This window comes from Homo sapiens, chromosome 3, assembly GCF_000001405.40.
Source record: "Homo sapiens chromosome 3, GRCh38.p14 Primary Assembly".
In the NCBI taxonomy this organism is placed as follows: Eukaryota; Metazoa; Chordata; class Mammalia; order Primates; family Hominidae; genus Homo; species Homo sapiens.
In genome coordinates this window covers 167,596,824-167,624,016 of record NC_000003.12, presented here as the reverse complement: position 1 = coordinate 167,624,016, position 27,193 = coordinate 167,596,824, and the positions used below count along the sequence as shown (strand labels likewise).

At 37.9% G+C, this 27,193-nt stretch overlaps 1 protein-coding gene across 4 annotated transcripts in view; it reads left to right on the top strand.

The window, feature by feature from the left end:
• The window catches only part of WDR49 (WD repeat domain 49), a 179,240-nt gene that overhangs the window by 33,907 nt on the left and 118,140 nt on the right, over positions 1–27,193 (top strand). For 3 of the 4 annotated variants that reach the window (NM_001348951.2, NM_001348952.2, NM_001366157.1), the window contains exons 4-7: positions 2,374–2,550; positions 3,414–3,588; positions 19,549–19,716; positions 21,742–21,890. In NM_001348951.2, coding sequence (NP_001335880.1) covers positions 2,374–2,550; positions 3,414–3,588; positions 19,549–19,716; positions 21,742–21,890 — 669 coding nt within the window. The remainder of the gene's footprint in view (positions 1–2,373; positions 2,551–3,413; positions 3,589–19,548; positions 19,717–21,741; positions 21,891–27,193) is intronic. The other variant, NM_001366158.1, reaches the window with a different exon arrangement.

Sequence of the window (27,193 nt, the reverse complement as noted above, 5' to 3'; positions counted from 1 at the left end):
ATGTATTCTGGGTAGATAGATTTATCAGATGGATACTTTGTAAAAACTGCATCTCAGTTTTTACATTCTCTTAACACCGCCTTTGGTAATTTCATTTTCAGACTGTTCATTGTATAGAAATACAATAGATTTTTCAAAAACGATAATATATTCTGCATCTTTCTGAAGTCATGTGTTAGTTCTGTAGTGTTTTTGAGTATTTCTAAAATTTCCTATATATAATATCACGTTATCTTCAAATAGATATAGAGAGCTAGTTTAACTTCCTCCTTTTTAATATTGATATTTTAAAATTTCATTTTCTTGCTTAATTTATCTGGTTAGAAATTCCATACCATATTAAATAGAAGTGGTGAGAGTGAACATCCTTGTCTTGTTTCTGATCTTTATGGGGAATGTATTTATTTTTTCACCGATATGTATGATGTCAGCTGTAGGATTTTTGTTGTTGTTGTTGTACATGCTGTTTATGAGGTTGAAGAAATTCTCTTCTATTCCTGGTTTGTTGAGTGTTTTTATCATGAAAATGTGTTGGATTTTGTCAAATGCATTGTTTGCATCTACTAAGATTACCATATAGCTTTTGTCTTTTATTCCATTAATATGAAGTATTACATTGATTGATTTTTGTATGTTAAACAAACCTTGCATTCCTGGGATAAATATTACTTTGCTATGATGTGTAAACTTTTTTGTATGTTGCTAAATTCTCTTTGCTAGTATTTAGTTCAGTATACATTTTACATTTGTATTCGTAAGATGTATAGATCTGCAGTTTTCTTTTCTTGTGATGTCTTTGTCTGGTTTCAGTATTGGAGTAATCCTGGCCTGATAAAATGATTTGGGAGGTGTTACCTTTGCCGTAATTTTTTGGAAGAGTTTGAGAAGTATTGGTATGATTTTCCTTGAAACGTTTGGTGGAATTTATCAGTGAAGCCATCTAGTTGAGGATTTTCTTTGTGACACTTTTTTTGACTATTAATTTAATCTTTCATTTGTCATAGTTCTGTTGATATTTTCTGTCTGTTTCTTCTTTGACCCATTGGTTACTTAGAAGTGTGTTGTTTTATTTCCATGTAGCTGTGAATTTCCCAAATTTTTCTTTTGTTGAATGAAATTTCTAATTTCATTCCATTGTGTTTGGAGAATATAATTTATATAATTTCAAATCTTTTAAATTTTTTGAGATTTGCTTTATCACCTAATATATGGTCTACCCTGGAGAATGTGCCTGTGCACTTGAGAAGAAGTGCATCCTGCTGACGTTGGACTGGAGTGTTCTTTAGACATACATTAGATCTAGTTGGCTTATAGTGTTTGTCAAGTCTTCATTTTCTTACCGATCTTCAGCTCAGTTGTTGTATCCATCATTGAAAGTAGAGTATTGAAATATCCCACTGTTATTATTGAAATGCCTACTCTGTCTTCAATAATTTTAGTTTTTGCTTCTGTATTACGGGGCTGTATTGTTAGAAAAATGGCAGATGTAAATCTTACCTTTTCAGTAATTATATCAATGGACTAACCAATTAAAGGGCAAAGATTGGCAGAATGGTGATTTTAATAATTTATGCATGTTTCTTAAAATTCTCTATTTAATCAGACATCATTCTCATTTGTTTCTTTCTTTCTTTTTTTCTTTTTAAAGATGGGAGTCTCACTATGTTGCCCAGGCTGTTCTTGAACTCCTGGCCTCAAGTAATCCTCCTGCGTTGGCCTCTCAAAGTGGTGGGATTACAGACATGAGCCATCACACCCAGCCACATACTTTCCTTTGCTTCTTTAGATCTTGTTTTCTTTAGTTGTTTGCACATATATATAATAGTTGAATTGAAGTCTTTTTCTAGTAAATCCAATGTGTGAATCTCTACAGGGACATTTTCTATTGACTTATTTTTATGTTGTTAAATATTTTCCCCTTTGTAAAATAGCCTTTAGGGTTTTCTCTGACTTCAGATAAAGCTACTTATAGAGTCTGTATCAAATGATTTCCATGAAAGTCTCTACTTGCATCATAAAACATGGTTTGTAAAGTTTCTGGTATGATTGTATCATGCTATATCTCTGTGCCTTAGTCTCTCCTGTGTGATTAGTGGTCTAGTCTCCCATGGATGGGGATGTTGGTGACTGTGTGGAATAGGGATAGGAAATAAAGCATGTTCAAATGCCTCTAATGGGAAAAGTTTCTTCTTGGCTAGATTCCACAGTTAGGATAAGGTACATTTGTGCCGCTGTTCTTAACTTCTGTAATACTGTTAAGGATCCTCAGAGAACAAAGTCTGATTTGGCAATTAGAGTGGCGTGTCTGCTTTGCATATTAATTTTGCTAAATCCATCAGAATTACTTTCTGATTTTCTACTCTGCTACTTTAGATAGCAGTGGCTTTTACAAGTAAAGAGGTTTGTTTCTATGATCTGCTGTCCAAAGAAGAATTTGCTTGCCAATACAAACTCCAAGGCCTGAAAGGAACACCAATTTGCATGGATTATTGGTATGATCCTCTTGATGCCAATGAATCAATTCTTTCTTTTGGGGATATAACTGGAAAGGTAAGTGAGGGTAGATTAAGATTGAATACTATGGATTTAATCATCAAACTGTAGTTTAAAGTAGAAATTAAAATGCAATGAGTGTGACCTCCAAATTTAATTACATTATGGATTACATGCACATTGGACATGGAAGAGATGGATTAGGTCACAATTTGTCTTCTTGCGTACAAAAACAAATCTTAATTGTGTGTGGGGGTTTGTTTGTTTTTTTGGTCTGTGTATAGCTCACTTTTCTCATGTAGAAAAAAAGATCTTGCTAACCTTTTTCACCATAGGATGCTTAATTTATTAGATCCTAATATGAATAAATGTTTAATATTAAATGATTACATTTATCCCATGAAATGCTTTCAAATTTATTGTTCTGATTTTCCTACATAGAGTATTGGGTTTCTCAGTACCAATTTCCTACCGAGTGCTCATTGCCTGTATCATATAACAAAAGGATTAGAGAGGGCAGCTCTGAAACCTAGATATTGGATACAATTATTTCTGTCTTCCTATCAAATTTCACCCGAACTATGAAAAATTATTACTTACTGAATGAAACTAGAATATGTCTGTGACCTCTGAAGTAGGCTAATTGGAACAATTTCCTTTTGTAATTGTGAAAGCTTTTCATTCTTACTATTTTAATGACAAATGTGTCTTAAAAACAAGTAAAAGACTGCCCTTTGGTAATTGTATCACCAAACTAATAATTGTTCTGTTTTTTAGTATAACACCCTGCATCCTTTAAATAATATTGAAGAAATTCTTATTAAGTTAATAGCTATTCCTTATTAAACTAAAATAACCTAGAATCTTCTTGCAACAAATATCCCGTCCACGATTGTTGTTCTTTCAATGTCTCTGTCAAGGTTCAAGCAATTGCTTTCACCGCAGCCTTGATTTCCCTGTTTGAACGGCCTGCTAGTGCATGTGAAGATGGAGAAGCCACTATGACCATTAACTGGGCAGAGCTGCTCTCTGGATGTCACAAATGTTGCCATATATTAGAGCATAAACTTCATCAAGGAGATTGGGTCAGGCAAGGTATTGAATTTGAACAGTAATGAAAGTAAATGGTCACCTCTGACTTGTACATTTATATTCTTTGATGAAAATGCTTCACACAAAACCTTTAAGTCTAGAAACCAATAATTGGTTCTCTGGAGGTTGTGGCCTGGACTCTGCTATCCCTTGAATACTGGCAGGGATTCTTTCTTTCTTTTTTTTTTCCTTCTGAATTTATGCCTCATACAATTAATTCAGGTGACCAATGTGCTCAAGAAATCTTAAGAGAAAGGAAAACATTGTCATAGAATTCATTTAGCTTCAACTCAACTCTGAGCCTAGCTAATCTCATCTAGTTACATTCAGGGCTGTTTAATAAAAGAATTTAACAAGTTCCCTCAGAACCATTCCTTTGTTTTCCTTATGTTCTCATGGGAAGCATATTAGTTTGACTGCCTTTAGAATTGAATTGTCTTAATTTTCTTCTCTTTTTTTTTTTGATGTAATGACTGAATTTCTCTAATCTAGAGTACTTGAGTGGCAGTTCTTTGTGTAATAAGACTATGTTATAAAATCAGTATCTACAGAAAACAAGAACTTTCTTAAAACCTAGTCACCAATGAATTAGTTTCATAAAATATCTTAATTTTATCTGATGGTTCGAGATTCAGATGTGCAATATCTGCACTAATATTTCTTTGTTTAGATACTGAGTATGCTAATTTTCTCACTTCTAAATTGCTACACTAAAGAATGCCCACTGAAAAGAATGAAAATTAACAATCTCATTGACTTTAATGAAATTAGATGAGATTAATGTTATTGGGCTATTCCTAATACAGTTTGAAGAAGAGACAGTCAACATGGACCCAACTGTTGGCTTTTTGGTAATTTTACCCTCTTTGGGTTTCAGAAGGTTGAAACTAATTCTTTAATGTATGCCCACAGTAAGAATTTCCTATGTGAGGAACTATGTGCTCTTCATTTTTTTCTTTGATATAAATCATACCATGGCTTTAGTACCTTCTATACATTTTTAAATTCTGCATGATATTAATTGTAGGAAAAACAAAAGATGACAGTTTTTGGTCATCTGCTAAGTGTGACAGGCACAAAATTATGTGTTAAGTTTTCATAACATGAAAATAAGAATCAGAGTATTAAAAATATACAGAATGGAGGTATTTCAACTTCTTCTGAAAAACATTGTATTCTTTTATTTGTATTCATATTCATTTGTTTTTTAGATACATATGCCAAAGACTAGATTATAATAATAAAGTGATAGTTCTTGAAATTTACTCACAGTAGGTTCTCTGAAAGTTAATGTATTATTTGAGTCCATAACCTTTAAATAATATGAGTAAATACAGAGAAGCCTATAGAAAGCTGTCTTAGAAAGGGTTGGAGAGATAACAAGTAAGGCTTTTAAATTGTGATTGTCTTTTCCGATGATGCATTATATCTATATATTCTTCATGTTCAGGAAGAGAATGGGGAAGCTCTCACTGCAGACTCTGCCTCAATTTTATTTAAGGGTCCCAAAAAATCAACCATACCAATGAAGTAACCTATCAGTGAGCATTTGTCTCTTAAGTTATAGGACAAGGATTGTTCTCTAGGTCAATGTTGATTTGCTACTTACCATGTGTCTATCATATCATTCTGATCTTTGATTCCCTCCTCTACTGACAAAAGAACATGGGAATTTAGTTTAGTATTAGCAGTGGAGATTCATGTTTATGACCTAAGGAATCCGATTTCACAGTTTCACAGTCTGGCCTTAAATCACTGCAAAGTAGGAATTGGCTACAGAGAAGTTTTATGTATATATAAGGAACTACATATGTAATACAAATTAGATATATATAGATGTACATATATAGTTAAAAATCTTTGCTATCTTATTCGTATTATATATTTCTCAGTTCTTTGAATAAAAAATTCATTATAATCAAGCAGATAATTTTTGGAACAACAACAGGAATACACACACACACATTTACTTTAAACACTTTATTTGAATTATGGACTTGAGTGTCAATCAATCAACAATTATTTATTGATCTTTTATGTGTCTTAAAACTGTCTTAGGCATTTGAGACTATAGAAGAAAGATTAATTATAGACTCAACCCTCAGAAAACTTAATATCTGAATGAAATAGAAACTAACACAAGTCACCTTATTAGAACATTGTTCAGTGGTACTGAAAATTAACTACTAAATCTTATAAACAAGATTTTGACTCCTAGAGTAGTTCTTAAGCCTGAAAAGCCATAAGAAAAAGCTTTAAGGATCAGTGGTGGTACTTGAAGGATGGATGAGGGAGAGAGAAAGAGAACGTGGGCAACATGAGCAAAATAGACAAGCAGGCACAATGATGACAGAAGGAGAGGTAGACATGAATAGATCAGACACTGAATATTAGGGAAATAGAAACAAATAGGTCAAATGGGGACATAACATTGGAAGATATTGGCCGTGAAACGTCGAAGGCTTTTGAGGAAACTTGGACAGACCCAATGCAGACAGTATTTAGGAAAAGTTTACTTGGTAGTTTGTTCAGCATGGGTTAGAGGAGAAAGAAACTGCAATCAGACTGGCTAGTTAGAAGGTTTTTGATCATTAGAAAATGGAAATGATAAAGAAAGGACAGAAACAGGCAGCTCTCTGAAGCAACCATCTTCAGGATTTGAGGTCTAAAAATGTGGAATGGTAAGCCATCTTAGGACGTCTTATAAAACTTTCCATTTCCAGCTGGGGAATTTTTTATTTGAAGATTACAGATCCCCACCTGGCCCAATGCATAGACTCTTCCCAGTTCATCTTCTCCTCCGGAGGAGGATTGTTCATTCTGAGATACCCCAGATTCTGCAACTAAAGACAAGTCTTTCTTTAAAAAAAAGGTTTTTAAAGGTTTGTTTCTTTGTTTGTTTGAGATGGACTCTCACTCAGACTGTCGCCCAGGCTGGAGTGCAGTGGTGCGATCTTGGCTCACTGCAACATCTACCTCCCAGGTTCAGCGATTCTTGTGCCTCAGCCTCCCGAATAGCTGGGATTACAGGCATGTGCCACCATGCCCGGCTAATTTTTGTATTTTTAGTAGAGACAGGGTTTCACCATGTTGACCAGACTGGTCTCAAACTCCTGACCTCAAGTAATTCACTCATCTGGGCCTCCCACAGTCCTGGGATTATAGGTGTGAGCCACTGTGTCTGGCCTACCACAGAAGAGTCTTTCTTGCCAACGTTTTTCCTGAAACGTCCTTTATTTTTTGCCACTTCACCTTACATCAAACTCTTTATTTTGCCTCTTCCTCTGTCTAATTCAGATGGACTCTTCATTGCATTATTTGCAAGGTTCTCAATTTTGGCATTTCTCCTGGATTCTTCTTTAAAATCTTGCTTTGCAATGCTGCCCACCCTGCGAACCAAACCTACCAATTTCTGTACCCACATTAGAATCTGGGTCCTGCCTCTTACCTTTCCAAGCCTAGAAGGAAATTTGAATGCCTCACATGAAAATTACATTTACATATAAATGGAAATTAAAACGTCCTTCTTGGGGCAAGCACTATATTCCTCATTCACCTTAGTATCCAGTATAACACATAATACAATGTTTTATAAGATTTTCTCTTTATCGCTGATTTTAAGCCATTTGATTATGATGTACCTTAGTTTTTCTTGGGGTGTGTGTATATGTGTGTATGTCTTTATACTGGTTAAAATTCATTAAAATTCTTGGATTTGTGGATCTGTAGTTTTCATTAAACTTGGAAATTTTTCTATTGTTATTTTTTCAAAGTTTTCTTTCTTCTTTCTCTCTCTCTCTCTTTTTTTTAATAGGACTCTAATTATTTGCCTTTCCAGAATTCTGTCCCACATTTTCTAGCTGCCTCATGGTCCTCTAACGCTAATCTTTGTTTCTCCAACTCTGGAGGTTGCTAGGCTCTGTGTGGTTTCCTGCTCTGTGTGCTGATAGTTTGGAAATTTCTTCCAAGAAAGTCAGAGTGATTGTAGGGCCCACTTTATTTGTTTCTCTTCTCTCAGGGTTCACAGTTCTACTTTGCCTATTGTCAAAATCTGAAATATTGTTGCTAATATTTGTCCAGTTTTCTAGTTGTTTATGGTGGGAGATTAAAATCAGTCCTTGTTATGCCATCATGGCTGGAAGCAGAAATCCAGCACAATGCCTTTTAAATAGTGAATATACAATAAATATTTGTTGATCATTTAGCCTCTTTCTTTTGTTGAGATCTTTCAGTCACCTTAACAACCCTTTACCAGCTGCAAGGATAGGAGCTTCTATGTGATATTCACCCAAAAAACATTTGCTAGGTAATTACTATGTAGTAGGCACCATAGTAAGCACTGGCATATTTCAGTTTAATTCTGTTATCTAGATCCATCCCAAGAAACTTAACTTCTAACATCCGACTAAGAAGATTTTTAAATAATCACTTCAAGGTTTGTTTATTATCATGTTCACTTTGAAGCACTCAAAACTAAGCAGCAGTCAGTAACACTTAACGAAGTATCCTTCTGCACATGGTATTGTGCACTATGAGCTCTGTGATAATTATTGTAGGGAACAATGGATAATTTATTTATCAAAGGATGCTGGAGTGAGTGTCTTGTTGAGATGGGTTAAGGGCAGAAAAGAACTGGCTGCTTATCTATTGGTGCTGAGAAACTGAGCTGTATTTTAATATTAGTGTATGCCAAAATGAACTATCTGAAGTCCTGCGAAAGCATTACATTAATTTTCTTCTTCCTTTTTTCTTTTTTAAAGAATTTCACTTGTGTCTCTAATTAATAATTCCTATTAGTTTCTTCTATGGGATTTTATGTTTTGATTGAAGAGCAAAAAAAAGCCATTTTGCAATTTGACTTGGAAAGTCTTAGATAAATTATTGGGTGAATTTTATTCAAAAATATTTCAAAAGAAAAGAGAAATATCAAAAGAAATTATGGTTAATAGTTGTAGAATTTCTTTCTTTCTTTTTTTTTTTTTTTTTTTAAATGGAGAGCCGGGAGTGGTGGTCCACGCCTGTAATCCTAGCATTTTAGGAGGCCAAGGTGGATAGATTGTTTGAGCCTAGGAGTTTGAGACCAGCCTGAGCAACATGGTGAAACCCTGTCTCTATAAAAAACACAAGAATTAGCTGAGTGTGGTGGCATGGGCCTGTAGCCCTAGCTACCCAGGAGGCTAAGGGTGGGAGGATCACCTGAGCCCAGGAGATTGAGGCTGCAGTGAGCCGTGATCACCACTATACTCCTCAAGTACCTCTGAAAGGTGAATATACTTCAGTCATAACCAATGAAAGAATGCCTTTTCTTAGATTTAGCAATACAGATTAGAAGCTTAAATATGACTTTCTGTTGTTGTTTGAAGCTCAGTGATTTCAATACGAGAAAAGACAGGAAGACTGAAATGAAGAGGAAGGCAGAAGGAGGAAAGGCAGGATGGATTCAAATGTAATATATGGGATTTGTAGTTGTTTTGGATTCTGTTCCTTTGTCTGCAAGACTTGCTCTATCAGGAGCAAGCAACCAATGACTGTTTAATTTGGTATTCTCTTTACCCCAGTAACGTGATTCAATATTCTTAGAACTCTTCATGAAATATTTTTGGTGATTTTCGTCTCAGTGTGAGGAGGGAATATACAATTGAGGAAAGAAAGAAACACATGAGCAAATATGATAATAATTTTTATTGAAGCTAAGGATAAAATATCTGTAAAAATGAAATGTCAAAGGAAAAACTCAGTTTCAGACAGAAGAGTATTAACATAGTGCTTTAAGATAAGGTTCAGATTTCTTATTTAAAACTTTGAAGGAGTAAATGTTTTCATCTTCTCTGAGTGGTTCTGTGTCATATTTTAATGGAAAAATAATTACATTCTGAAATGCTTGTAAAGTAATTATAGAGGTTTTGTGTAATAGTGCTAAGACATAAACGTCTTGAATTTCAGAGAATTTTCCTTTTTAATAATTTCCTCCTCATATAGACAGTATCACTAGAAACCTTGGAAACTGTAGTCTGGGAATGCAGATATTGAAAGAATGAGGCCAGGTGGCTCATGTCTGTAATCACAGCATTTTGGGAAGCCGAGGTGGGCGGATCACCTGAGGTCAGGAGTTGGAGACCAGCCTGGCCAACGTGGTGAAACCATGTCTCTACTAACAATAAAATTAGCCAGGTGTGGTGGTGGGCGCTTGTAATCCCAGCTACTTGGGAGGCTGAGGCATGAGAATTGCTTGAACCTGGGAGGTGGGGGTTGCAGTGAGCCGAGATTGCGCCATTGCCCATAGCACTCCAACCTGGGCGAGAGAGCGAGACTCCATCGCGGGACGCAGGAGGGGGGACAAGAAAGAAAGAATGAGCATGAAATTGTCAGCAACAAAAATCATTGATATTTTATTGCGTTGAAAATGTTTTCTGCCCTTTGACCAGGGCTAGAAGAAGATACAAAACAGTTTGAATTGTTAACAAAATCACTAATTGCTTTTTTTTTTTTTTTGAGACAGAGTCTTGCTCTGTCACCCAGGCTGCAGTGGCATGATCTCGGCTCACTGCAACTTCTGTCTCCTGGGTTCAAGCGATTCTCCTGCCTCAGCCTCCCGAGTACCTGGGATTACAGGCATGAGCTACCACGCCCTGCTAATTTTTGTATTTCTTGTAGAGACGGGGTTTCGCCATGTTAGCCAGGCTGGTCTCGAACTCCTGAACTCAGGTGATCCGTCTGCCTCAGCCTCCCAAACTGCTGGGATTACAGGTGTGAGCCACCACAACCAGCTGCTAATTGCTGCACTAATTAGTGGAACAAGTGCCAGAAAATTTAGAATACAGACTCCTCAGGGAGTCTTTATAATTGATAGGGACTAAGTTGGCAGAGAAGCCAGATTTAATATCTTGCTTGTGTGTGGCTCGACTTCCCTGCATCTAAATCAGTCTTCCAGACACTGTCGAGTTAGCTAGACCACGCTGCCTTTCCTGCCAGTTCTGTCACTATGTTTAAAGCAGTTGAAATCCGCTGTGAGCAGTGGCCTTGGTTTGAGGAAAGGGCTCTATTTCCTGCAGCTTGTTCTGTAGCATGGTAGAAGAATAAGATTCATTTGTATCATGGACATGTGCCTACCTGGCATTTTGAAAAGTAATTGAATTAATTGCATTATTATTTTTAAATATGCTTAGCAGTGCTGAATTCTTATTTTAAAGATAGAATAGATACAGTTATACTTTATTTTTTAATTTAAATTTTCTTGTGTGTGTGGATACAGAGTAGGTGTATATATTTATGTGGTACATGAGATGTTTTGATATCAGCATAAAATGTGAAATAAGTACAACCTGGGGACTGGGGTATCCATCACCTCAAGCATTTACACTTTGAGTTACAAACAATCCAATTACACTCTATAAGTTATTTTAAAATATACAATTACATTATTATTGACTATAGTCATCCTGTTGTGCTATTAAACAATAGTCTTACTCTTTTTAAGTAAATTTTTTTGTAACAATCCTCACCTCCCTGCTAGGCCCCCACTACCATTCCCAGCCTTTGGTAACTATCATTCCACTCTCTATGTTCATGAGTTCAATTGTTTTGATACTTAGATCCTACAAATAAGTGAGAACATGCAATGTTTGTCTTTTTGTGCCTGGCTGATTTTGCTTAACACAAGATTTCTTCCCAATTCAGTCTTGGTGGGTTGTATGCATCTAGGAATTTTTTCATTTCTTCTTGATTTGCCAACTTATTGGCATATAGTTGCTCATAGTAGCCATTAACAATCTTCTGAATTTCTGCAGTATCAGTAGTAATGTCTCCTTTTTCATTTCTGATTTTATTTATTTGGATATACTCTCTTTTTTTCTTAATCTGGCTAAAGCTTTGTCCTTTTAACTTGTCCAAAAATAAACTTTTTGTTTCATTAATCTTCTGTATTTTTTTCAATTTTATTTATTTCAGCTCTGATCTTTATTATTTCTTTTCTTCTACTAATTTTGGGTTTGTTTTATTCTTGCTTTTCTAGTTCTTTAAGATGCACCATTGGATTGTTCATTTGAAGTAGTTCCTTTTTTTTTTGATGAAGGCACTTTCAGCTATAAACTTCCCTCTTAGTACTGCTTTTACTGTATCCCATATGTGTGTAGTTTTTCTATTATCATTTGTTTCCAGTAATTTTTCAATTTCCTTCTTAATTTCTTCACTGACTCACTGGTCATTCAAGAGACTATTGTTTAATTTCTATGTATTTGTATAGTTTCCAGAATTACTCTTGTTAGTAGTTTCTAGTTTTATTCATTGTGGTCAGAGAAAACACTTGATATTATTTCAATATTTTGAATGTCTTAAGATATTTTTTGATACCTAACATATGGTATATCCTTGAGAATGATTCATGTGCTGAGGAAAAGAATGTGTATTCTGCAGCTTTTGGATGGAATATTGTGTAAATATCTATTGGATCCACTTGGTCCATAGTGTAGATTAAGTCTGACGTTTGTTGATTTTCTTTCCAGAAGTTCTGTCCAGTGCTGAAAGTGAAGTGTTGAGGTCGCCAGGTATTATTGTATCAAGGCCTATCTCTCTCTTCAGTTCTAATAATATTTACCTTATGTATCAAAGTGCTCCCATGGTAGCTGCATTTTTATTTAAAGTTTTTTATATCCTCTTGCTGAATTGACCCCTTTATCATTACATGGTGATGTTCTTTGTATCTTTTTATAGTTTTTGTCTCGAAATCTATTTTGTGTGATAAAAGTATAGTGACTCCTACTCTTTTTTGGTTTTCATTGGCGTGGGATATCTTTTTCATCCCTTTTATCTTCTGTGTTTCAGTCTATATGTGCCTTTATAGGTGAAGTGTGTTTCTTGAAGATAACAGTTCAATGCGTCTTGTTTTTTTGCCCATTCAGCCAGTCTATGTCTTTGATTAAAGAGTTTAATCCATTTAAATTCAATATTATTAATGGTGAGTAAAGACTTACTCCTGCCATTTTGTGATTTGTTATTTGGTTTTCTCTTCCTTCTCTCTTTCCTCCTTATGTTCCTCTAATGAAAGTGATTGTCTCTGATGATATGATTTAGTTTCTTGCTTTTTATTTTTTGTATATTCATATGTTTTTTGGTTTGAGGTTACCATGAGACTTGCAAATACTATCTTATAACCCATTATTTTAAGCTGAGAGCAACGCTATTTGCATAAACAAACACAAAGCAAACTAATAAAAACTCTACATTTTAACTTCGTCCCTCTGCTTTTTATCTTTTTGTTGTTTCTATTTATATCTTATTGTACTGATTATGCCTTGAAAATTCGTAGTTATTAGTATTGATTGGTTCATCATTTAGTCTTTCTATTTCAGATAAGAGTAGTTTACACAGCACAGTTACAGTGTTATGATATTCTGTGGTTTTCTGTGCACTTATCATTACCAGTGAGTTTTGTACCTTCAGGTGACTATTCATTGCCCATTGTCCTTTTCTTTCTGATTAAAGTATTCTTAGCATTTCAGATCTCAGACCAGATCTGGGAAAATTCTCCGGATTACCAGACAGAGACTCTTGTTCTCTCCCTTACTGTCCCCCAAACATGCAAAGTCTCTCTGTCTGTTCTGAGCCACCTAAAGCTGGGGGTGGAGTGACACAAGCACCTCAGTGGCCACTACTACTATGACTGTGCTGGGTGAGACCTGAAGCCAGCACAGCACTGGGTCTCGCTCAAGACCTGCTTTAATCACTACCTGGCTACTGCCTATGTTCACTCAAGGCCCTGGGGCTCTGCAATCAGCCAGTGGCAAATCCAGCCAGGCCTGTGTCTTTGCCTTTAGGGCAGCAAGGTCCCCCAGCCCCTGGGTGGGTCCCAAAATGCCATCTGCAAGTCAGGGACTAGAGTCAAAAACTTTAGAAGTCTACCTGGTGTTCTCTTATTGCAGCTGAGCTGGCACTCAAACAACAAGATGCAGTTCTTCCCACTCTTTACTCCTTTTTCCAAAGGCAGAGAAGCCTCACCCTGTAGCCACTGCTACCCCAGGCCAAAAAGAGTACTTCCTGACTACTGTTGATGTTCCCTAATGGCCCACTGTTTCTTAAGTCAGCTTGTCGTCAGTGCTGCCTGACCTGAGACTTACCCTTCAGGGCAGTGGACTCCTCTCTGGACAAGGGCAGGTCAGAAATTCCATCCAAGAGTCAAGTCTTGGAATTGGGGACCCTAAGAGCCTGCCTTGGGTACTCTACACCCCTGTGGCCATGCTGGCACCTAAGGTGCAAGACAAAGTCCCCTTTACTTTTCCCTCTGCTTTTCTCAAGCAGGAGGAGTTTTTCCCCATAGCCTCCACAGCTAGTAATGTGCCGAGTCTCACCTGAAGCCAGCAAGTCTCAGAGGCTCATCCAAGACCCTTGATATAATACCTGGATATTGCATCAGGGCACAAGGGCTCTTCAGTTAGCAGGTGATGAATGCTGCCAGGAATGGCTCTTTTCCTTCAGGGTAGTGGGTTCCCTTCCGGCCCAGGTTGTGTAGAAGTGTCATCCAGGATTGAGGGCCTGTGACAGGAGCCTCACAACTCTGACCAATGCTGTCTCCTGCTGTGGCTGAGCTGGTATCCTAGAGGCAAGGCAAAGCCTTCCCCACTCTTCCCTCTCCTCTCCTCAAGTGAAAGGAAGGCACCTCTTTTGGAGCCGTGAGCTGTGCAGTCTGGGGTTAGAGGAGGGTGATGCCAGCCCTCCCTTGGCTGCACCAGCTGGTGTCTCAGTATGTCGTGTGCCCCCTCAGTCCATTGTCTCTGGGCCTAGTTCCACACAAGGACTCACCTATGAGTTGCAGTCTTTATGGCCTAGAGCTTTATGGCATTTCAAGTTTATTTGGAGACAAACAGTGCTGTAGCCCTCAGTGGTGAGGTTTACTGGAGCTCAAGTTCAGACCTCTGGGCTGGGCGATTCCCCTCTGCTAAGGTTCCCTCTGTGGGCGGGCACCAGTTGAGTTTGGTCCAGGTTTCCTTTCTGCTTTGCCAGGACAGCACAGAGTTCAATACTACATAATTGCTCTGCTCTCTCTCCCCCAGTTCCCAGAGAAGCTCTCAGCACCACGCAGTTGCTGGTAGGGGTGGAGAAGGGTGGGCGTTGGTGATTCAGTACTGTTTTTTTTTATTTTTCTATCTCTTCAGTGCCTCTTTCAGCGATGTGAAGTGAAAACCAGGTACAATGAGGGCTCATCTAATTTTTGTTTTTTGTAAAAGTGTTTTTTTCTGTGTAGATTGTTAACTTGGTGTCCTTGCAGGGGTAGAGGGGAGAATTGGTGGAGACTTCTTTCCTACCCTGCCACGATGTCTATCAGTTGGCAAATGTTATAGAGTGCCTTATTTTATCTTACTCTAAGTGCACTTAATAGCATTACTTACTTAGTTTTTAGGTATCACTTTTCATTTTCAAATCACTTTCCCACATTAACTAATTGCTGTTACACAGGGTCATTTTGACAGCACACATGAGGACAAAGATCGATGGCAGGGTCCCTTAATGTCTTTTTTTATGACTGTGTGGCAAGAGAATGAAAGAGTTGAAAGTTAGCATCTTAATGGATAAATATAATCAAGTTGTTTTTTTTCTCTATAATGTTATATAAAAGTAATTTAAAAGTATTTTCCTCTACCAATTCCAAAACTTACTGAGAATATTAACAAGAAATCATTTATTTTACCAGCTCATCCTATTCCTTAGCTTGATAGTTTTAAAACTTTTCCATCATAACCTATCATTTCCTTACCTCAATTCAAGAAATGAGAAAAACATTTTTATTTATCAGATAATTTGATTTTAAGGAAATGGCTTTTCTCTCACCTTTTACCCAGGCACTCTCAGGAACTCTGGCATTCTACAGTTTAATCAGAAACAAGTTATATCTTGGTTTAGACATTAAGCGTGAATTGTTGAGCCTCCAATATGTAGCACTGCAGGCCCATAAATGTCGTTTTGTAACCTGCAGATTTAAATCTTAAAGCAATACTTCGGATGCCAGAGCAGCATACACGTCTTTCTATGTCTTTCTTTATAACCTGGAAACTAAAGATGATAGTTGGGTATAATGGGGAAACACATGACGAAGTAATTTTCTGGGTAGGAATATTTTATTTTGATTGTATTGTAATTATATTATGGGATTTCCATGCACTTGAAGATATAATTATAGTATTATGTTGTATAGTTTACATCTTATAATATTGCCTTACTGAGAGTCAGGTTATAATAACCCTTTTTTGTAAACAAAGAGAATATTTTCAGTGAGGCTGCTTCCTGAATGAGAATCATTGCCATCAGATTTTATACTATTGGAACTTCTAGTACAGTAGTAGTACTATTGCAGCAGGTAATCATGGGACTTTATGTTCCTGAAATTAATTGCTCTCTAATAAAACTTAAAGGATTCTCCTTTATAGGAACGAATTACTTCCCAGATCCTTGCCTTTCTTTCACTTCCTCCCGTCCTCCCTTCTTTCCTTTTTTCCTCCCTCCGTCCCTTTTTTCCTCCCTCCCTCCCTTTTACCCTTTCTTCCTTCCTTTTATTAAGAAGAAAAGAGAGAAAAGGATGAGAGAAAGCAAGGAAGACATAGAAATACTGTTCCCGTGGGGATCAGAGGCAATAGAAAAGTGAAGTGATCAGGAAAGGGAAGACTCAAGATAAATTAGGGGCTTGGTTTGGGATTGAGGGTATGGGGACAGAAAGGTAGTTGGTAATAGGAAGAACCCCAGATCTGGACCTGTGATACACATTGTAGTGAGGCTTAGTAAAAAAGACGGAGGCAATAGCACAGGAAAGGAGAGTTGACAGCCACACAGGACTGGGTTCAGTCTCATCTCCACCTCCAATTAGCTTCATGCCCTTGAGCAAGTTGGCTTTCAGGTTGCTATCTTCTCATTAGGAAACTTGGAATAATTTACCCACTAAAGATTATTATAGGGTGAGAGCACCCAGAGTGGTGCTTGTACATAGGAAGGATTCAATAAATAATCCTAAAAACTATTTAAAGTAGTCATAGGTCAAAGAGAAATTCCATATGGGGGATAAGCAAGAAACGTACTGTTGGGGCTCAGAAAGTGATACCCCAAAATGAAAACCTCGGAAGCAGCCTCAGGAGCAAAGTTTCTCTCTGACCTTCTCCTGCCCATCTGTCTCTCCTGCTTATTCTTTCCTGAGCCAGGTCATAGAAGCTAGAACTCCTTTTCCCCAAAGGTAGCCGTAAAGTCTAAAAATATTATTCTAACATTCCCCTACTATTAGTGTAACCTCCTGACCATAAAGGAATGGAATGACATCCCTCATTCTAGAGTGGTCCTACCCCATACCCAGGAGAAAGGAATGCCGTATAGAGAAGTCAAGAAGAATCTGAGCAGACAAGACTTGCTGGGTTTTCCACTCAGTCTATTTTCATTAGCTCATATTCCTTTTTTCCAATCATATTTTTACATGGCTGTCCCTGCGTCATAGAACCCAAGTGTAAAAATGGACAGTGTCTTGTATATCTTTGGATCTTCATTCTGAAGGTTCCTGTGTCATGTAAATCTATGATCAGATGAATTTTTTGTGCTTTTCTCTTGTTAACCTGTCTTTGGTTATAGGGGTATTGGCCATGACCCTTATAATGAGGAGGAAAGGGGTCACTCACTGCCCTCTCTGCCCTTATAACACAATCCAGGTAAATTCTAGGCAGAGTGGAGAAACAGACCATTTTGGCCTTTGGCAGCACTTTTGTGTTTCATGACACACTTCCCAGTGAATTATTCTGTGAGCCAGCTCTGTGAACCAGCTCTACTCTGGTCCCCTTTCTGAACATCTCCTTTGTATCCTGTTCTCTCCTTATTTTCCTCTTAGAAATTGTGTTCTGCTATTAGCAATATGCCAGTATCAAGGGACAGTTACACTCATTTACATTAAAGAAGTAGAAGCTTAAAACAGAAGCCTAAAATGAGTATTGACTAACACAAAGGATGTACATCATTAGCAATAGAAATTTTAAGAACCACTTGAGGAAGCAGGTGAAGAATAATTTCTCACTCCAAAATTACCTGTGGCTGGAGGTTTATCACTTAAGTTCCTCAGATCTATTATGGTTGGACTTTATGAGTATAGTGAGAAGGTTCTCAAAATCGTGATATTTTATACACAATTTTGTGTGCATGCATACCTTTCTGATGGAGAGGGTCTATAGTTCTCATCAGATTCCCAAAGGGGTGTTTGACCTCCCAAATTTTAAGAACTATGGATTAACATACTCTCTAGAGTATAAAATAATGGCAATACTTGCATTCTAGTGCTTTGCTACTTTGTGTGGTTCTCAGAGAGCATCAGGAGCAACACCTAGGAATGTGAGAAATGCAGAATCTCAGGTTTACATTGAATGAGAATCTGCATTTTCACATAGCGATTTGTGTGAATGTTAAAACTTGAGAAGCCAAGTTTCAATAGTCAAGAGATCAGGCCCTGTATTCTGAATTTGTACTCTGGCTCTACCAAATACTAGTGTCCCAAGCTTCGATTTATAATATTGCATGTCATGACACCAAACTTAAGAGTTAATCTCAGAACTTCAGACCTGAGTTTGACAATTACTTGCTGACTTTGGCAAATCACTGAAACTGTGTGGATGAATCCCTATTTCTTTACCTATGAGATATAGAAGTAGATTAGCTCTTTCTCAGCTCTCAATTTACCTTTTGTTTCCCACACAGGTGATTTGTCATGGCCTCTCATCTATTGAAATGCTTTTTGTCAACGTTCAACAAATGTCTCTTAAACCCTGAAAGTCACACTGATTTCTTTTTTCTTTGAAATTCTATTATACATTTTGTAACATTCAATTTATCACTTTATGATGTACTAAAATTGTCTCTAATTGTTTGATTTACACGTTTTTTCTCCCAAGTTTGGGGCCATATAATTGAAGTCCAGACTGCATCTGTTTTTTTTCTTATTATCTTTATCATAGCACAGAACACATAGTAGATGCCCAATAAATCTTTGAGGATTGAATGCCATGTTTTGAGAGACGATATCTGTAAATGACACACTGAATAGTCTCAACATCATTAATTTAGTTAGAAATTGGTTGTGTTATGCCATTTATTTCCTAGGGAGATAGCTATGGAATTTTCTAAATCAAGCTATTTACATATCAATATGAGCTCTTGAATTAATAAATCCTAGTTACCTTTAGAAACAGCCCAATTGAATAGATCAGAGGAAAAGGAATGCATTGAGCTATTTTCCTGCTTCTCAGAACTTTCTTGCCTTTAATAATTGTTTGGAAATGTATAAATACCTGTGTATGTGTGTGTGTGTGTGTGTGTGTGTATATATATACACATATTACAAATATATGTGTGTATATATACGCCATATGTATATGTACACACACACACACACACACACACACACACACACAAAGCAAATTAAGTTATTATACCAAAATAGTAAAACTAGATACTGTTTTTAACTCCTTAATGAGGGATGCTCTTTTTGTGAAGCAGAAATTTATTCTCACAGTTCTGGAGGCTGGGAGTCAAAGATTAAGGCACCATCAGATTTGCTGTCTGGTGGGGACCTACTTTCTGCTTCCTAGATGGTGCCTTCCACCTGTGCCCTCACATAGTGGAAGCAGCAAACAAGCTTCCTTGGACCTCCTTTATAAGGGCATTCATACCATTCTTGAAGGTTCTACTCTCCTGACCTAATTACCTTTCAAAATCTCTGCTTATCTTTCCCTAGATTGGGGGAAAAGTCAGAATGTAGAATTTCCTGTAACTTCTCAATGGAATTCTTTTGTGGGAGGTGGGAGAAGGGGTTTGTGAGGTGTTTTTTAAGTATCAGTTTGTATCATCATAGTTTGAGTTTAATTTTTAACTTTCCATATTAAAACAGCTCCATTTTACTAATATCTTGTGAAGAATCAACTAAAGATTGTTTTTCTCTTTTTAATTTTTTATCAGTTACTTACAATGCATCTTTAGACGCTATCATTTCCAGTACAACCAGCAATACAAATAGTGTGGTGATGGCTTGGAGAGAGAAATCAAAAAAGCGTCTTAATATGACATCCTTCAACATTGCCCAGGGCATTCATGCTTTTGATTATCACTCTCGGCTCAATTTAATTGGTAGGTAAAATAAATCATGATAACTATGAGGGCCTCATAAATAGTCTGGGATGTATATTTGTATGCATGGAGCCTTTGCTACCTTGTTGCTGTATTGCTATAGAGACCATCTCGAGAAGCTCACATTTTACTGCCTGAGAATGTCTGATAATGATGCATTATGATGTGCAGTGTGTATGAACTACATTGAGGTAAAAATATGAGAAAGTGCCCAATGCTTTAATGAGTTTTTTTTTTAATTACAATTGGTGAAGGGTGTAAAATGATATAGAGAAGGAAGACAGTTTGTGCAGCATCTGCCATTCTGCCATCTTCCTAACACCACCAAATGCTCCACCCAAACAAATGCATTTTTTCGTTGCTACTACTACAGCTACCACTACCAGTGCATGCACACACACACACACATCCATACACAAGAGAACCGCAAAATGTAGACTGTTTTTCAATTACCTTTCAGAATACAATCTCTAATGATTTTTGAAAATGTTCAGATTATGCGAGGTTTGTTTACTAGAGGAGAGTTCTTTTGATGTAAAAAAAGTTTATTTTAACTGAGGAAATATAACCTTTCTCAGGCATTAACTATTTAAATTAAAAATTTAGACATTCTGAAAGCTGATAATTTGATATATGATATTTGTTCAAACATTATAAAAATGAGGTATAGATATATTATTGAAAAATTAATAGGGTAGTTACAGAGCATACACATGGTCTACGGAATGGGTCATATTAACTCACATTCAATAGTTGTCATTCATATGAAGATTATTAATATTAGCTAAGGAGCTGTGTCCATAAAATTCCCAAAATAATACCTGACAATCACAGTAACAGATACCTTGAATATGAATTCGTGAATATGCCAACATCAAATCTTCAAGGAGTACTGTAGATTTATTAGAGAAGGATAGAGGAGTTGGTGACTCATTTTGGCAAGGACTCAAATAGAAACTATTTAATTTATTGATTGGTTAATCATTTCAATCTCTGTATAATAATAATTACTTTGTACCTCCTATAGTGCTGGAAAAAATAAGGATGATTAAGTTCAGCTCCACAACTGGCCCTAAGCTAGGAAGCAACAAAGAGTATTGTGTTGTTTTGAATAGATACAACATTTCCTGCTCTGGAAGAGCTCCCTAAATATAACTGATTGATGTTCAAAAATATCTTATTCCATAATAAAGCAGGTCAAAAGTATATTTGTGCTGCTTTTTTGCTTGCACATACAGTCGTGCATTGCTTAATGATGGGGATAGAAAGGCATCATTAGGTGATTTTCCATTGTGTGAGCATCATAGAGTGTACTTACACAAAGAGATGGTGTAGCCTACTACACACCTAAGCTATATGCTGTAGCCTATTGCTCCTAGGCTACAAACTTCTATAGCATGAGACTTACTAAATACTATAGGCAACTGTAACACAATGGTATTTATGTATCTAAACATATAAAAGGTACAGTAAAAATACCATATTATAGTCTCATGGGACCATATTCGTATATGCTGTATATTGTTGGCTGAAATGTTATGAAATGCATGACTGTACTTGATTACTTGATAATTTGTCTTTTTATAGTTTTTAATTAATTTATGAACTTTCAACATTGTTTTCTTTCTTTCTTACTCCTGGGATAACTTTAACACTGCCTACATTTGTAGGCTAAGCTGGCTGGAGAGGGGAAATATCAGGGTTAGGAAGAAGGATTCTGTCCCCTCCTGGTTAGGCTGTTGGTTGGTTTTTAAATGGGACTATATGTTTTCTTTCACCTCATACATAGCCTTTTCCCCTTGACAAATTTTTTCTTCCCTAATCCCTCCATTTCAACTATTTCTATTGACAGAACTCATGCTCTATTAGCCTGGTCTAGTTAGACAATGGCAAAACAGGTGCATTAGTCAACCTACAGTTGACATTCATCAAGCTAGAGTTATATGGTAAACTCATTTCACAAAGAAAATGCTGTGGGCTATTCATGCTATTAAAAACATTTTTTTTCTTTCTAATTCTGATTAGCAACTGCTGGCATTAACAATAAAGTTTGCCTTTGGAATCCCTATGTTGTCTCTAAACCAGTGGGTGTCCTTTGGGGCCACTCAGCCAGTGTAATAGCCGTCCAATTCTTTGTGGAAAGAAAACAACTTTTCAGCTTCTCCAAGGATAAAGTAAGTAACATTGTGCTTTTAATTAATTTAGTTTTGCTTCCCCGATTCCTACCCAAATCAACTCTGGGATCTGAATTTCTCTGAGAGATCGTGTCAGTTTTTAAAATATACTGGCTAGCTACTTATGTTTTTGGAAGTCTATATTTGGAAAAGGTGTTGGTTGATGGTTACTTAACAGTAGTCCTAGACAAGTGGGCAAAGTATTTCATTAAATTTTTTCAAATCATGTACTCAGGGATTTAATCTTTATTGGGCTCTCAATATGTCACACCTTGACAGCTTCCAATGTTCTCACAAATTCAATAGAAAAAACAGAAAATGAAATGTTGCTTTGATAAGATAAAGTCCAGGCATAGGCAATTAAATATTATTGCTTTGATATTGAAGAGACTCAGTTAATTAGAAATTGAAGTTAATCTGAAGAACATCAAGCACATTAAGAACCTTTTAATTAAATGTATCAGTTCATTTCTGTTTTATGATATTGATGGGATATTTTAAATATGGTGGAAAAAAAAATATGGCACTAGAGCCGTAGAGTCCAGGTTGAATCCTGACAACACTATTTATTACTTATATCCACTTAGGCAAATTTCTTCATCTCTAAGAGTCTTGACTTTTGTTCCTTGGTAAAGCTTCAATCTTACTAATGCCCAACTTAAAGATCCAGTTAACATGATAGATTTCAAGATAGTTGGTTATGAAGAGGAGGGTGCATATAAAGTGTATTGAAGATAGTCTTTGAGTGAATATAAATTTTTGTTGTATGCTAAAATATATGCAAATATAAATTACATAGAAATTCATCTTCAACTCCTTAGCCACACCCCATAAATTCTACCAAAATTAACCACCATAAATTCTACCAAACTTACTTATTTTACTGTATTACCTAGCATGTAAACTTTTTCTTGAACTTCAACAATCAGCTGCCAATTTCTGTTGATTTTACCATCAAAATGTTTATCAGTTTCACCTCTCCATCTCAGTTGCTACTGCTGTAATTCAAAATCTTATCTTCTTTTCCTCAAAATACTGCAAAGGTTTTCTAATATATCTCTCTATTTTCAGACTGATCTGACTCTACTCTGCCCTCCATTCTGCTAATTTGCAAGTAGCTTGCAGAAAAATTCTTCAGTCTTTCATCTCTGCCCTCTATTTAAATATGAACTCTCAAATTCTTAAAATTTTATACAAAGCTCCCCCCATCTACTAGCCCCACTTCACTTCCCGCTTTTCTCCTTCAAATTCATTTAATGCTCCAATCATATCAAATTATTATCTTTTCTCACCATGCAGTTTCATGGCTTTGCAACATGCTCTTCCTTCTGCCTTCAATTCCCTGTCTTCTATTAATTGGCAGATGCCTATTTATCCTCCACATTTTAGACTTTTTGAAGTCTCTTATGCAGACGTAGGTGTTTCTTTCTGTGTGCTCCTGTTGCATTTGTGTGTCTCTCATTACAGCAGGTATCATACTGTACTGATATTGTTAGTTTGCTTTCTTAAGATGCATCAGTATTGAAAATGTAAAATAGGGATGGAGCAAGATCATGGGATAGAAAGCCCCACCAATGGTCTCCCCCAATAGGAACACCAAATTTAACAACTATCTACACATACACAAAAACACCTTCATAAGAACCAAAAAAATCAGGTGAGCACTCACAGTACCTGGTTTTAACTGAAAGGATCACCAAAGAGGGTAGGAAATACAGTCTCCAATTACCAATGCCACCCCTTCCCTTTTCCCACCACAGTGTCTGTGTGGCATGGACCACAAGGACTGCAACTCCTAGGTGAGTCGTAGTGCCTGAGATGGGCTAAAAGCCAGTAGACTTGGGGGAAGTGTGGGGGGACATGACTTACTGAGACACCAGCCAGGGCAGCTAAAGGAGTGCTTGTACCACGACTCCCCCAACCCCAGGCAGCACAATTCACAACTTCGAAAGAGACCCCTTCCTTCCGCTTGAGGAGAGGAAAGTAATGAGTAAAGAGGACTTTTGTCTTGCATCTTGGATACCAGCACAGCCACAATAAGATAGGTCCCTGGTCAGAATTGTGAGGTGCCCCCCTTCCAGGCCCTAGCTCCCAGATAACATTTCTAGACATATCCTGGGCCAGAAGGGAACCCGCTACCTTAAGGAAAGGACCGAGTCCTGGAAGGACCCATCACTTGTTGACTAAAGAGTCCTTGAGCTCTAAATAACCAGCAGGGATAGCCAGATAGTACACCATGGAACTTGGGTGAGACCGAGATGTGTTGACTTCAGGTGAGACATGGAATATTACTATCTGTGGTGGCTACAGTGAGACACTTCTATTTGAGAAAAGCAGAAGTAAAGTAAAGGTGACTTCCTTGAGCTCTAAATAAACAGCAGAGATAGCCAGATAGTACACCATGGAACTTGGGTGAGACTGAGATGTGTTGACTTCAGGTGAGACATGGAATATTACTATCTCTGGTGGCTACAGTGAGACACTTCTATTTGAGAAAAGCAGAAGTTAAGTAAAGGTGATTTTTGTCTAGCACCTTAGGTACCAGATCAACCATAGTGAGATAGAGCACCAAGCGGGTCCATGATTCTAGGTGTTGGCCCTTGGACAGCATTTCTTGACATGCCCTGAGCCATAGGAGAGCCCACTGCCCTGAAGGGTGAGTCTCAGGCTTGGCCGACTTCACCACAAGCTGACTGAAGAGCCTTAATCCTTAAGTGAACAATGGCAGTAGTGTAGCAGTTCTCCCCATGGGACAGTGGTGGTGGTGGTCATGAGGTGAGGCTCCTCTGCCTGTGAAAATGGGAGGGAAGAGTGGGAAGAACTGAATTTTGTGGTTTGAGTGCCAGTTCAGTCATAGTAAAATAGAACACCGAGTAGATTTCTAAGGTTTTTGACTATAGCCCTGGTTCCTGGACAGCATCTCTGGACCTGCCTGGGACCTGAGGGAACTAACTGCCCTGAAGGGAAGGACACAAGGTTGTCTGCTTAACCACATGCTGACCATAGAGCCCCAGAGCCGTGGGAAAACATAGGTGGTAGCCAGGTAATGGTTACAGCAGGCTTTTGGCAAGACCCAGTGCTGTGCTGGCTTCATATCTGACCCAGCACAGTCTCAGTGGTGATGGCCACATAAGTGCCTGTGTCACTCCACCATCAGCCCCAAGTGGTTCAGAATAGAGACAGAGAGACTCTATTTGTTTGGTAGAAAGTAAGGTGAGAGAATAAGAGCCTGTCTAGTAATCTGGACACTTCTGGATTTTATCCAAGATTCCAAACTGGGACCTTTATGAGTCTGCAAGAACTACAGCATCACTGGGTTTGGGGTGCCCCCTAATGAAGATACACCTATATCACAACACTCAATTCCTTTCAAATATCTGGAAAGCCTCTCAAAAAATGTATTAGTCCATTTTCACACTGCTACAAAGAACTATGAGACTGGATAATTTATAAAGAAAAGAAGTTTAATTGATTCATGTTTCCACATGGCTGGGGAGCCCTCAGGAAGCTTACAATCATGGTGGAAGGTGAAGGGGAAGCAAGGCACATCTTTCATGGCAGCAGGAGAAAGAGAGTGGGGTGGGGGAACCACCATACACTTTTAAACAATAAGATCTCATGAGAACTCACTTACTATCATGAGAACAGCATGAGGAAACTGCCCCAATGATCGAATCACCTCCCTACCTCGACACATGGGGATTACAATTTGAGATGAGATTTGGGTGGGGACACAGAGCCAGATCATGTCATTACACCCTGGCCCCTCCCAAATCTTATGTCCTTCTCACATTTCTTTTTTCTTTTCTTCTTTTTTTTTTTGAGATGGAGTCTTGCTCTGTCACCCACGCTGGAGTGCAGTGGTGTGATCTCGGCTCACTGCAACCTCTGCCTCCTAGGTTCGAGCAATTCTCCTACCTCAGTCTCCAGAGTAGCTGAGACTACAGGCACCTGCCACCATGCCCAGCTAATTCTTTGAGTTTTCAGTAAAGACAGGGTTCACCATGTTAGCCAAGATGGTCTCGATCTCCTGTCCTCGTGATCTGCCCACCTCAGCCTCCCAAAGTGCTGGGATTACAGGCATTAGCCACTGTCCCCAGCCCAACCTTCTCACATTTCAAAACACAATCATGCCCCCATCATGGTCCCCCAAAGTCTTAACTCATTCCAATATTAACCCAAAAAGCCTAATTCCAAAGTCTTATCTGAGACAAGGCAAGTCCCTTCTGCCTATGAGCCTGCAAATGCTAAAGCAATTTAGTTATTTCCAAGATACAGTGGGGATACAGGCATTGAGTAAATGTTACCATTCCAAAAGGGAGAAATTGGCCACAACAAAGGGGCTACAAGCCTCATGCAAGTCCAAAACCCAGCAAGACACTCACTGAAACTTAAAGTTCCAAAATTTCCTTTTACTCCATGTCTCACATACAGGGCATGCTAAAGCAAGGGGTGGGCTCCCTGGCCTTGAGTAGGGAGATTTGCTCCTGTGGCTCTGCAGGGTACCATCCTTGTGGCTGCTTTTACAAGCTGGTGTTGAGTGTGTGTGGCTTTTTCAGGTGCACGACGCAAGCTGTTGGTGGATCCACCCTTCTGGAGTCTAGAGAATGGTGGCCCTCTTCTCACAGCTCCACTAGTCAGTGCCCCAGGGGGACTATCTGTGGGAGCTCTAACCCCACATTTCCCCTCTGAACTGCCTTAGTGGAGGCTTTACATGAGGGCTCCCTGCAGCCCACTTCTGCCTGGACATCCAGGCATTTTTGTACATCCTCTGAAATCTAGGCAGAGGCTCCTAAAACTCAACTCTTGTCTTCTGTGCACCCACAGGCTCAACACCATGTGGAAGCTGCCAATGCTTGGAGCTTGCACCCTTTGAAGTAACAGCCCTAGCTGTACCTTGGCCCCTTTTAGCTAAGGCTGGAGCTGGAGCAGCTGGGATGCAGGGTACCATTCCCTGAGGCTGCACAGAGGCAGCAGGACCCTGGGCCAGGCCCATGAAACCATTTTTCCCACCTAGGCCTTTGGGCCTGTGACGAAGATCTCCAAAATGCCCTGGAGACATTTTCCCCATTGTCTTGGCTATTAACATTTGGCTCCTTGTTACTTATGTAAATTTCTGCAGCCAACTTGAATTTTTCCCTAAAAAATGGGTTTTTCTTTTCTTTTTTTTTTTTTTCCATTTTGAGTTTATTTTATGAAAATTGTAAAGTATGGCAAACATCTTTATTTATTTATTTATTTATTTATTTATTTATTATTATACTTTAAGTTTTAGGGTACATGTGCCCAATGTGCAGGTTAGT